Below are 12,327 nucleotides of genomic sequence, written 5' to 3' on the forward strand. Positions count from 1 at the left end.
TTCCTTCTGTTCTAAAGTTCTATAAAACTCACTATGTATTCTATCCTTATTGCTAGGTTCATATTCCATCTTGAAATTTAACCAAATTATTGCATGTTCCTATTTCAAGTCATGTGCATGTCTTTTATCAAATACTAAGCTTCTGCTGAAGGTCCCTGAAGAAATTTCTAGTCTCATTTGTTTCTCGATCAAATTATTAGCCACTAATTAATTGAACACACAAGCGTTTAAAAATTTCCTTTGCATATAAGGATGGCTGTTCCATGTTAAGGGCCAAATAGGATTACCAGGTAATCTTAAGATTTTACTTTTGCATATGAATAACAGTTAAATATTTGGGAGTAGACAGATGACACAATTTTTTTCCTTTTTTATTATTTTTTATTTCTGAACTTATTTGTTAAAGAGTTGTGGCCTATTACCTCCAAATAAGATGCCAATAAATTAATTCATGAATACTAAATAAAATTAAAGATGCTAATGGACTCTTGTGTGAAATAGTTTAGAATTCACTTAATAAATTTTTAGACTTAAATCTCTATCTGGAAAATCTGAACATATCAAAGAGACTACAGCTGGCTCCTTCAAACGCTGTAGCACTAACACCTAAAAAAAAAAAAAAAACCACCAAAAAAACAAAAAACACGAGGAGGTTCTGGGATTAGGAGAACACTCTTTAATGATAAAGCCTGTCCAAGTACTAAGGACAATTAGAGTAGGCAGGTGACCTGTACAAAGTATTAGTGATAACACAACATTCAGCTTCCTAAGAGTTAAAACGTGCTGCTTACATGAAGGGAGATGATACTGAGCTAAGAAGTCCTGGTATAGAGAAGCAGAGAGACCAACCTACTTCATATTATTTATAAAATAGAGAATATTCTCAGCTAACATGCTGGGAGAAAAAATTCTTCCAAAAAGGCAGAATTACAATCAATGCCAAGATTTACAAATTCCATCATGTTTAAATATAAGGACAAAAATAAACATTTCTTATTTAAAAAAAACCCACAAATTTCCCCAACTATAGCTTATCTGTTAGCACTTCTTTATCAGTCTGACTATTCTTTAAAGGCCTTAAAACATGAATTTGGGATAAAAACAAATAAAAGTGCCCAAGTTTTAAGAAGCCATATGTTAACTTAGGATGTTATCTATATATTTTTTAGACCAATCAATGTTTTTTAAGAGGTGTAGATACTGGTAACTTTTCTCTTTAAATAAATGTTTATATATTTCACCAACAACACTGGCCTGTGGCACACAGCATGTTTAATAAAAACACATTGCTATTAAAAAAAAGTATATGTAAACAGAAAAAAAAAACCCTCTAGTTTCAACAGAAAAACTTACATCCAGAGATTCTTTTCCCATTATTTCTTAGGACAGCCACAGAACTATTTCAACCTGTACCCTTAATCCAGCAGATACATCTTAATAAAAGAACTCTAATTGCTAAGTACTGAAATAAAACATTACTTACAATAATTTCCTAGTTATCCACAACTTTCTTCTTGTAGCAATTGTGAACTTAAGATGACTTGTTTTTATAAGCTCCTCAGTGTCAATATATCTCAACAATACATTTATTACTTGTACAATATATTACTTCACACATAATAACATAAAACATCATTTCACTAAAGAAAAATACACATTCAATATAGCCAAGTTCTAGTTTTAAAAAGAAGCACCTGATGAGTTTTCTTCTGAATTCATTTCTCCAGAAGACCAGTCCTTAAAGACTTCTGGAGTCTAGCTATGTTGGCATCTAATGCCGCAAGGCCATTTCTGAAGTCTTGTTCATCACGAGAAGTGAACGTTGAAAACGAAGAGATGCTCCAGTCAGACATCAAGTCAGAAGTGAAAACACTACCATCACAGACAGTATTGCCTTTCACTTGAAGGCTGTTGCTAAGACAACCTGATGGGCCATGACATGCAGTTTGTTCCTCTGGCTCCTTGGTGGCAGCAGGGATCTTACCAATTGCTTCCTTTATTTTCTTGAGGAGCTGTGTGTCCTTCATATCAGATGCTCTGGAAAGTTTTTCAGGTGCATCTTCTGCTTCCTTTGTTGAAGAGGAACAGATTACAGGTGTACACAGTTTATTTTCTTTTCCAGAGACAGCAAGTCCGCTGTTGCTGACTAGCTGTGTTGTAGCTGCTCTTATTTGTGGCTGAGGGGATAGTCTCTTAGAAAGTGGTGATTTCTTTTCAGGAGTGCTTCTAGCAAAAGGAATGTAAATTGTATTATCCAAATTATGCTCATCTTCTATTAAAGCCATAGTTTCACTCCCTTCATCAGAATCCTGTTTTGAAAGGGCAGAAATAATTCCAGGTGCAGATGCTTCCTCCATGCCCCTAGTGTTACTATTTTGAGGGCCTCTGGAGGACAGAACATTTTCATAGGTTTTGTCTGGCTCTATGGTTTCCTCATTTTTAATTGTAGAAAGTGGCTCTGAATGTGTAAAACTGTAATTTGTTTCTAACTTATTTAGATAGCTCATTATGGAAGTGTGAGCAGGAGCTGGGTCATGTTGAAGTTGTTTATCATGAATGTTCAAGAGTGATTTGGTAAGGTTATTCCCAGGCTTGCAGCGAGCACTGTCCACACTAAGATCGGAGAGAAGCTTTGCCATGCTAGTCTGTAAAGTTCTGTTAAGAAGAATCCAGAACACTAATTATTATTTTTTACCTGTTTCTTTAATTCACTTATCTATACCTCCATCTTTAAAAAAAGGATTTGAGAGAAGTGTCTGGTTCTTAATATGAAAACAAGCAACTAGAAGCACAAAATCACAGAACGTGCTTTGGCAAGAGCATATAATAATTAAAATAACAATGATAAAATACATTGGTCTGTATCGAATCTATCACTATGTCTAAAAATAGAGGCTCAGAATTTTTTTTTAAGGTATGGAGATGTTTTACTCTTTTTTTTTTTTTTTTAATTGAGATAGAGTCTCATTCTGTCACCCAGGCTCGAGTACAGTGGAATGATCTCAGCTCACTGAAACTTCTGCCTCCCAGGTTCAAGTGATCCTCTTGCCTCAGCCTCCCGAGTAGCTGGGATTACAGGTGCGCATCACCACGCCTGGCTAATTTTTCTATTTTTAGTAGAGACAGGGTTTCACCATGTTGGCCAGGCTGGTCTTAAACTCCTGGCCTCAAGTGATCTGCCCGCCTCAGCCTCCCAAAGTTCTGGGATTACAGGTATAAGCCACCATACCCAGCCGAGATGGTTTATTCTTGAGCAGCACTAGGTTCATTCTTGAGCAGCACTACAAATTGAGCCCCAGAGTAAAAAACTGGCCTCACAAAGGTAGGCTAAGATACAAAGGGAAACACACTATTCATTTGTTATGGATTCTGCTAGGAATTATTTCCCTTCATTATATATGTGTTTGTGTGTGTGTGTGTGTGTGTGTGTGTGTGTGTGGCACAATACTAGAAAAAAAGGATAGAGATAATTATCTGGCATAATAGGTATAAGCAACAGCTAGGTACCAGAAAGGTGTATAACGAAAACCACAGAAGGTTTGAAGTTAGAAATGGAATTAAATCCCAGTGCCATCATTAGCTGTGATCTTGGGCAAGTCATTTAACCTTTCTGAATCTCTAGTTCCTCAGCTGTAAAATGAAGATATTTCCGAACTACAATGAAGATTAAATAAGATAAAATAATAAGGTATAAAGTATTTAGCACGGTTTCAGTCTAAGTGGGTGTTTGTTTGTTTGATGGCAGCCTTTATTAGTAGTCCTATTAAGGCCATTTTTTATTTTTTTATTTTTTTGAGATGGAGTCTCACTCTATCACCCAGGCTGGAGTGCAGTGGGGCATGATCTCAGCTCACTGCAAGCTCTGCCTTCTGGGTTCATGCCATTCTCCTGCCTCAGCCTCTTGAGTAGCTGGGACTACAGGTGCCCTCCACCACGCAGGGCTAATTTTTCTGTATTTTTTAGTAGCGACGGGGTTTCACTGTGTTAGCCGGGATGGTCTCGATCTCCTGACCTCGTGATCCACCCGCCTCGGCCTCCCAAAGTGCTGGAATTACAGGCGTGAGCCACCACGCCCAGCCTAAAGCCATTTTATACTAAGACTTTAGTCTATTTAAATTGAATTATATATGGTCTCAAAAATCAATGAGGGCTGGGCATGGTGGCTCATGCCTGTAATCCCAGCACTTTGGGAGGCTGTGGCAGGCAGATCACCTGAGGTCAGGAGTTCGAGACCAGCCTGGCCAACATGGTGAAACCCCATCTCTACTAAAAAATACAAAAATTAGCTGGGCATGGTGATGTGCGCCTGTGATCCCAGCTGCTCGGCAGGCTGAGGCATGAGAATTGCTTGAACCCGGGAGGCAGAGGGTGCAGTAAGCCAAGATCACTCCACCGCACTCCAGCCTGGGCAACAGGGCGAAACTCCATCTCAACCAAAAAAAAAAACAAAAAACAAAAAAACCCAAAAAACCAATTTAAACAAAGATACAAAGGACATCAACAGGTAACTAACAAAAAAATACCACTAGCCAATAAGCATGCTTTAAGAGTTCAACTTTTAATCAAATAAATTCAAAATTTAAAAATGATTTTTTTTTTGCTTATCAAATTAGCATAGTAAAATAAGAATAATACCCACTGTTAGAGAAGCCTGGAGAGGCAGGTGCTACTGGTGGGAGTGTACAGTGGTATAACTCTTCTGGAGAGGAAACTGCCAATACATTTCAAAAGCCTTAAAACTTTGTGTGTCTCACACTCTTTGGCCCACCAATTTATACTTATAAAAATATCCTACTGGTCTACACAGAGGTTGTACCCAAAGATATATTAATAAATATATTAGTTATAATATAAGATAGATGGACATATATATCTTTATCTTCAAAAAAGTGAACTGGTTCAGGTAAATTATGGTATAACTGCATCATAGCTCCTAATTATAGTCATGTTGTAAAGCATATTTATTGATAGGAAAATGTTCATTACATAAGGTTATATTAAGAAAAGCAGGCCATAAATAATCTAGACTCAATATTTTTCTAAAAAGTAGTCACACACATAAACATAAAATGCTAAAAAGAAATCTCTATACTAAACAGTCAGTGGTGATTATATCTCTGTATATAGGATAAATTATTTTCTCCTACAAAACTAAAAACAAATTTTTTCCAACTTGGCTTACACTGTCCTCTTAAACACACTGTATTTTGACTTCTAATTGTTCTTCAAATGGCAATGGCTCCTGCTATTTCTTCTAATATCTCTATTTTTAAAAAATGCCTCTTTCTAGGTTATGAGGAGAGTGACATCTCTTTTAATAAGTCTTAAAAATCTCCAGCAAGATGGTGGAATAAGAGTTTCCTGGCTCTGGTCCCCCTCATAGAAATCGAACTAGCTACTATCCACAGACAAGTACACCTTCATGAATATCCCAGAACTCAGGAGTGAGCTGAGACACTCTCTTGGATCACAGAACTGAGAAAAGCTGCATTACAGGGTTAAAAGGAACAGTTTCACCCCTTTCCAAGCCAGTTAAGTACCACACAGAGAGGAGTCCCCTGGGCCTGCAGTTTCTACCACAGAAAAAGAAAGCTGGAGGTGAATACTCAACTTCCCTGGCATTCTGGGATGCTTCTCAGGAAGCCCACTTCTGTATTACCCCATTTGTTCCTACAGGGCTAGAACACTTGGGGTTAGCGGAAAACAAAAAAGAGGGATACAGCTCATAGCGGCTACAGCACAGATCTTGGCAATGACTCTGCACTCCTGCCAATGGAAGCATCAGACCAGAGAGACCAGTCAATAGCACTGCTTTGCAGAAAGCACAGTTGACAGGTGTGCCAGGGCCGAGTCCCTACCACTATCACATCCAAGCCTTCCCCAACCCTTAAGCAGAGTCTCAATTCTCTGCTTAAAGTTTTCCTAGGCCAGGAGGCAAGTATGCGGTGGCACCTAAGTGTTGAAGAGAGCATCTGGTCCCATAAGAACTGAGAGGGCGAGCGGTAACCCCATGCAGCCTCAGTACTCTGCTTATGGCTTCCCCAGACCCAGAGGCAAGTGCACATTAGCATAAATCTGTGGAGGTCGGCATCTGGCCCTGCCAGACTTTAGTGTCCCTACCTAACTTCACAGCTGTACATATAGTTTCCTGAGGCCAGGAGGCAAAACTGCATCCTTACATATCTGCAGAACACAGTTAACTGGCCCTGCTCAACCTTAGCAGTTAAGCAGTGACTCCATTCAGCTTTGAAGTCCAGCCTGAGGTTTTGCCCAGGCCCAGGCAGGGAGGCAAACCTGTGACTGCATACTGTGGAGGAATCTCCAGCCCTGCCTGTCACGAGTGGCTGGGCAGCAAACCCAGAAACACTGAAGCCCAGCCCGCAACCCTGCCCAATTAGATTCTAAACAGCAGTAGCACTCAGCCAGGGAATACAGCCTGCAACCCTGCCCAATCAAAGGTGATTGCAGAGCCCAGCTGGCAGCTCCACCTGACCTTGGAACCCAGTCAGTGGCCTCACTGGTTGACGGAGCACAGCCATTGGTTTCACAAGATCATGGAGTACAGTCAATAGCTCCACTGACCTCAAAGCACAGGTAGCAGCCCAGTTAGAGAACCCAACAGCAAGGTCTGCCTGCCTATAGTCACTACCAGATGGCCAATCCAGAATCCCAGGCTAGACTAAATAGTGAAGGTCTATCCCCTTCACCTCAAGTGAGAGGTGGGGTAGGGCATAACACTTGCAAAACTGGAAGAGGTGGCCACTTCTTCAAGTGCATAGACACCAATGCAAGGATACAAGGATTATGAAGAATCAGAAAAATGACACCACTAAAAGAAATAAAGCACCAATAATGGACTCTAAAGAAATGAGAGACAAAGAATTGAGAATAATCTTCTCTTTAAAATGTTCAGGGAACTACAAGAAAATATAGATAAAAAATTAAATGAAATTTGGAAAATAATTAACAAACAAAACAATAAGTTTGACAAAGAAATAGAAACAAATTTTAAAAATCAAATAGATATCTTAGAGATAAAAAACACAGTATCTAAACTGAAAAATTCAATCAAATACTTCAATAGTATACTTGATCAAGCAGAGGAATTAGTGAGCCTGAAAAGAGGACATTTAAAATTATCCAGTCAGAAGAGGAAATAAATCAAGAATGAAAAAGAATGAAGAAAGCCTACAGGTATTATGAGATACCATCTGAGAAACAGGAGTGCCTGAAGGAGAAGAGAGAGAAAAATGACCAGAAAGCATATTTAGGAAAATAATGGCTGAAAATTCTCCAAATCTAGGGAAAGACACCAATATTCAGGTACAGGACGCTCAGAGGTCTCCAATCCAATTTAACCCAAAGAGAAGTTCACCAAGACACACCATAACTGAACTGTTAAAATTCAAAGATAACTGTTAAAATTCAAAGCAGTGACAGATAAGAAACATCACACACTAGGGAGCCTCAATATGGCTAACAGTGGACTTCTCAACAAAAACAACCTGTCAACCAAGAATACTTTATCCAGCAAAACTGTCCAGAAATGAGGGAGAAATAAAAACTTTCCCAGACAAATGCTAAGGGAGTTCATCCTCAGTAGGCCTATCTTACAAGAATTGCTAAAACAAGTTCTTTAAGCTGAAGTAAAAGATCACTAATTAATACCATGAAACACATGCAATTATAAAACTCAATGGTATAACACATAATCATATTCTGAATACTCTAGTACCTTAATGGTGGTATGTAAAGCGATTTTATCCTAATATGAGGGTTAAAAGACAAAACTATTAAAAACAACTATAGTTACAGGATATAAATTAGAAAAAGATGTAAATTTTGAAATCAAAATCATAAAATGTGTAAGAGGGGAGTAAAAGTGTAGTTTTTGTATGTGATTAAAGTTATTATCAGCTTAAAATAGCCTAAGTATAAGATGTTTTATGTAAACCTCAGGGTAACCACAAAGCAAAAACCTACAGAATTTGCACAAAACATGAAAAGGATTCAAAGCATACCATTACAGAAAACCATCAAACCACAAAGGAAGGCAACAGAGGGAGAAAAAAAGGATCTACAAAACAATTACAAAATAAATTACAAAATGGCAGTAGCAAGTCCTTGCCTATCAACAATTACCTTGAATGTAAATAGAGTAAATTCTCTAATCAAAAGACAGAGTGGGTGAATGAATCAAAAACTGTATGCTGCTTACACGAGGCTCACTCTAAGGTAAAGCACACACATAGACGGAAAGTGAAGAGATGGAAAAATATATTCCATAGGAAAGGAAACGAAGAAAGCAGGGGTAGCTATACTCATATCAGACAAAACAGACTTTAAGTCAAAAACTGTAAAAAGAAGCAAAGAAGGTCACTATATAATGATAAAGGCATCAATCTGCAATTGTAAGAATATATGCACCCAACATTGGAGCAACTAAATAATAAAGCAACTATTAAATGATCTGAAGGGAGAGACAGACTGAGTGGGGGATTTCAGTACCCGGCTCTCAACACTGTACAGATCTTTTAGATAGAAAATCAATAAGGAAACATTGGTCTCAAATTACACTTTAGACCAGGGGTGTCCAAGCTTTTGGCCTCCCTGGGCCACACTGGAAGAATTGTCTTGGGCCACACATAAAATACATTAACACTAACGACAGCTGATGAGCTTAAAAATTTGTCAAAAAAAAATCTCATAATGTTTTAAGAAAGTTTATGAATTTGTGTTGAGCCACATTCAAACCCATCCTGGGCTGCATGTGGCTCAGGGGCCATCAGTTGGACAAGCTTGGTTTAGACCAAATAGATCTCATAGACATAATATAGAACATTCCATCCTACAGCAACAGAGTACACATTCTTCTCTTGTGCACACAGAACATTCTTCAGGATAGATCATGTTAGACCACAAAATAAGTCTTAACAAATTTAAGGAGACTAGAATCATACCAAGCATCTTCCGATTCCAACGGCATGAAACTAGGAATCAATAACGAGAAATTTTGGGAAATTCACAAACGTGGAAATTAAGCAACATGCTGCTGAACAACCAATGAGACAAAGAAGAAATTAAAAGGGTAATAAAATAATACCTTGAGACGAACAAAAATGAAAACAAAATATGACAACATTTATGGGATGCAGCAAAAGCAATTCTAAGAGGGAAATTTATAGCAATAAACATATATCAAAAAAGAAAGCTCTCAAATAATCTAATATTACATCTTAAGGAACTAGGAAAAGGAGAACAAATTAAGCCCAAAATTAGCAGAAGGAAGAAATCACAAAAGATCAGAGCAAGAAATATATGAAATAGAGACTAGAAAAACAATAGGAAAAATTCAGCAAAACTGAGTTTGTTTTTTTGGGAGAAATAAACAAAATTGACAAACCCTTAGCTAGACTAAGAGAAGGAGAGAGAAGACTTAAATGAATCAGAAATAAAAGGAGATATTACAACTGATAACACAGCAATGCAAAGAATCATAAGAAGTTACTATGAGCAATTATACACCAACAAATTAGATAACCCAGAAGAAATGGATAAATTCCTATACAGACACAACTTACCAAACCTGAATCATGAAGGAATAGAAAGTCTGAGCAGACCAATAATGAGTAAGGATATTAAGTGTTCTTAATAAAGTCTCCCACCAAAGAAAAGCCCAGGACAAGACAGCTTTATAGCTGAATTCTAACCAACACTTAAAGAACATTTAAAGAAGGATTGAGAATACCAACCCTTCTCAAACTCTTCCAAACATTCAAAGTGCAGGGAATTTTTCCAAACTTGTTTTACATAGAAAACACTGAACAAGGCCAAGTGTTCTTGTTGAACACTTGAAAACACTGTTCAAGGCCAATATGACTCTGATAACAAAGCCAGAAAAGAACACTACAAGAAAAGAAAACTACAGGTCAATATCTCTGATGAACACAGACTTAAAAAACCCTCAACAAAATACTAGCAAACCAAATTCAACAATAAATTAAAAGAATTATTCAACACAATTAAAGGGGATTTACATTTGAGATGCAAGGATGGTTCAACGTATAAAACCGATGAATGTGATATACCACATTAACAGAATGAAGAATTTAAAACTATATGATCATCGCAAAAGATGCAGAAAATGCACTTGATACATTTCAACACTCTTTCATGAAAAAACTCTCAAAAGATTCCGTATAGAAGGAATGTACCTTAACACAACAAAGGCCATATATATGACAAACCCATAGTTAACATCATACTCAGTGATGAAAAGTTGAAAGTTTTTCCTCTAAGATCAAGAGTAAGGTAAGAAGGCCCACTCTCACCACTTCTTTTCAACATATTACTGGAACTCTTACCCAGAGTAATTATGCAAGAGAAAAAAAATAGAAGATAATAAGAAAGGAAGAAATGAAATTGTCTGTTTGCTGACACGATTTTATACACAGAAAATCCTAAACACCAAAAAACTGTTTTGCTTATAAACTCAGTAAAGTTGCAGGATACAAAATCAACATAAAAAATCAGTAACATTTCTATACACTCACAACAAACTACCCAAAAGAAATTAAGAAAAACAAGCAACAAAAAACAAAGTAAAATACTTCAGTGAAAATTTAACCAAGGAGGTGAACAATACACATATATTATTAGTATTTACTAAATATATACATATATTATTAGTATATACTAAAAACTATGAAACACTGATAAAATAAACTGAAGAAAACACAAATAAATGGAAGGCTACCCTGTGCTCATGATTGGAAGAAATAATATTGTTGGAATATTCATGCTACCCAAAATGACCTACAAATTCAACAGAATTCCTATCAAAATTCCAGTGTCATTTTTCACAGAAATAGAATAAACTATCCTAAAATTCATACAGAATCATTAAAAAAAAAAAAACCCTTGAAAAGCCAAAAATATCTTAAGTAAAAAGAACAAAGCTGGGGGCACCACATTCCCTGATTTCAAAATATATTAAAGGAATTGAAATCAAAACGGCATGAACTGGCATAAAAACAGACATGCTGATCAATGGAACAGGACATAAATAAATCCATGTATTTATGGCCAATTGATTTTTCACAAAGGTGACAAGAAAACAAAATGGGGAAAAGTCTCTTCAACAAATGGTGATGGGAAAACTGGAGATCCACGTACAGAAGAATGGAATTGGATTCTTATTTCACAATGCATACAAAAATATACTAAAAATGGATTAAAGATTTAAATACAAGACCTGAAACTGTAAAACTACCAGAAAAAAACATGAGGGAAAAGCTCCATGACACTGGTCCAGGCAATAATTTTTTAGATATGACCTTGAAAGCACAGATATCACAAACAAAAATAGACAAATGAAATCGTATCAAACTAAAAGGCTTTTGCACAGCAAGGGGAACAATCTAACAGAGTGAAGAGACAAGCCATGGTGTGGGAGAAATATATGCAAACCGTACGTGATAAGGGGTTAATATTCAAAATATGTAAGGGACTCATGCAACTCAACAGCAAAAAAACAAATAATTAAAAAATGGGCAAAGGACATTTCTCCATTTAAATGGCCAATATGTCTAAGAAAAAATGCTCAACATTAGGGAAATGCAAATTAAAACCACAATGAGATATCATCTCACACCTGTCAGAATGGCTATTACAAAAAAGATGAAAGCTAACAAGTGTTGATGAAGATGTGGAGAAAAGGAAACCCTTGTATACTGTTGGTAGGAATGTAAATTAGTATAGACACAATGGGAAACAGTATGGAAGCTCCTCAAAAATGTATAAATAGAACTACCATATGATTCAGCAATCCCATGTCTATGTACATATCCATATATATATATATACACACACATATATATGTATACATATATACACACACACACACACACACACACATCTATCTATACACACACACCCAGAGTATGGGCATTGTAGCATTATTCACAATAGCCAAGATATGGAATAAACCTAAGTTTCCTTCAGTGAATGAATGATTATTTCTTTAAGGAAAACGTGGCATATAAACATATTGGAATACTACTCAGCCTTAAAAAAAAAACAAAAAAAAACCCAGGAAATTTTGTCATTTGCAACATGAATGAACCTGGAGGACATCCATATGTTAAGTGAAATAAGCCAAGAACAGAAAGACAAATACTGCATGACCTCACTTATATATGGAATATAAAAAAGTTGAACTCATAGAAGCAGAGAGTAGAATAGTGGTTACCAGAGACTGGGGTTGTGGTGGATGTAAGGTAGGGTATGGGAAATGGGGAGATGTTAGTCAAAGGGTACAAAGTTTCA

At 36.7% G+C, this 12,327-nt stretch overlaps 1 protein-coding gene across 28 annotated transcripts in view; it reads right to left on the bottom strand.

Annotated features, from left to right (window-relative positions):
* CCDC14 (coiled-coil domain containing 14) overlaps nt 1-12,327 on the bottom strand; it is a 76,054-nt gene that overhangs the window by 27,888 nt on the left and 35,839 nt on the right. For 19 of the 28 annotated variants that reach the window (NM_001366336.1, XM_005247713.3, XM_047448746.1 and 16 more), the window contains one exon: nt 359-2,655. The exons of 4 other annotated variants lie outside the window; for them this stretch is intronic. In NM_001366336.1, coding sequence (NP_001353265.1) covers nt 1,716-2,655 — 940 coding nt within the window. In that variant the 3' untranslated portion in view covers nt 359-1,715. Of the gene's footprint in view, nt 1-358; nt 2,656-12,327 lie in introns of those variants that run through there. 5 more of the 28 variants (NM_001366338.1, XM_047448738.1, XM_006713733.4 and 2 more) reach the window with 1 other exon arrangement.

This window comes from Homo sapiens, chromosome 3 (genome assembly GCF_000001405.40).
Source record: "Homo sapiens chromosome 3, GRCh38.p14 Primary Assembly".
Lineage (NCBI taxonomy): Eukaryota > Metazoa > Chordata > Mammalia > Primates > Hominidae > Homo > Homo sapiens.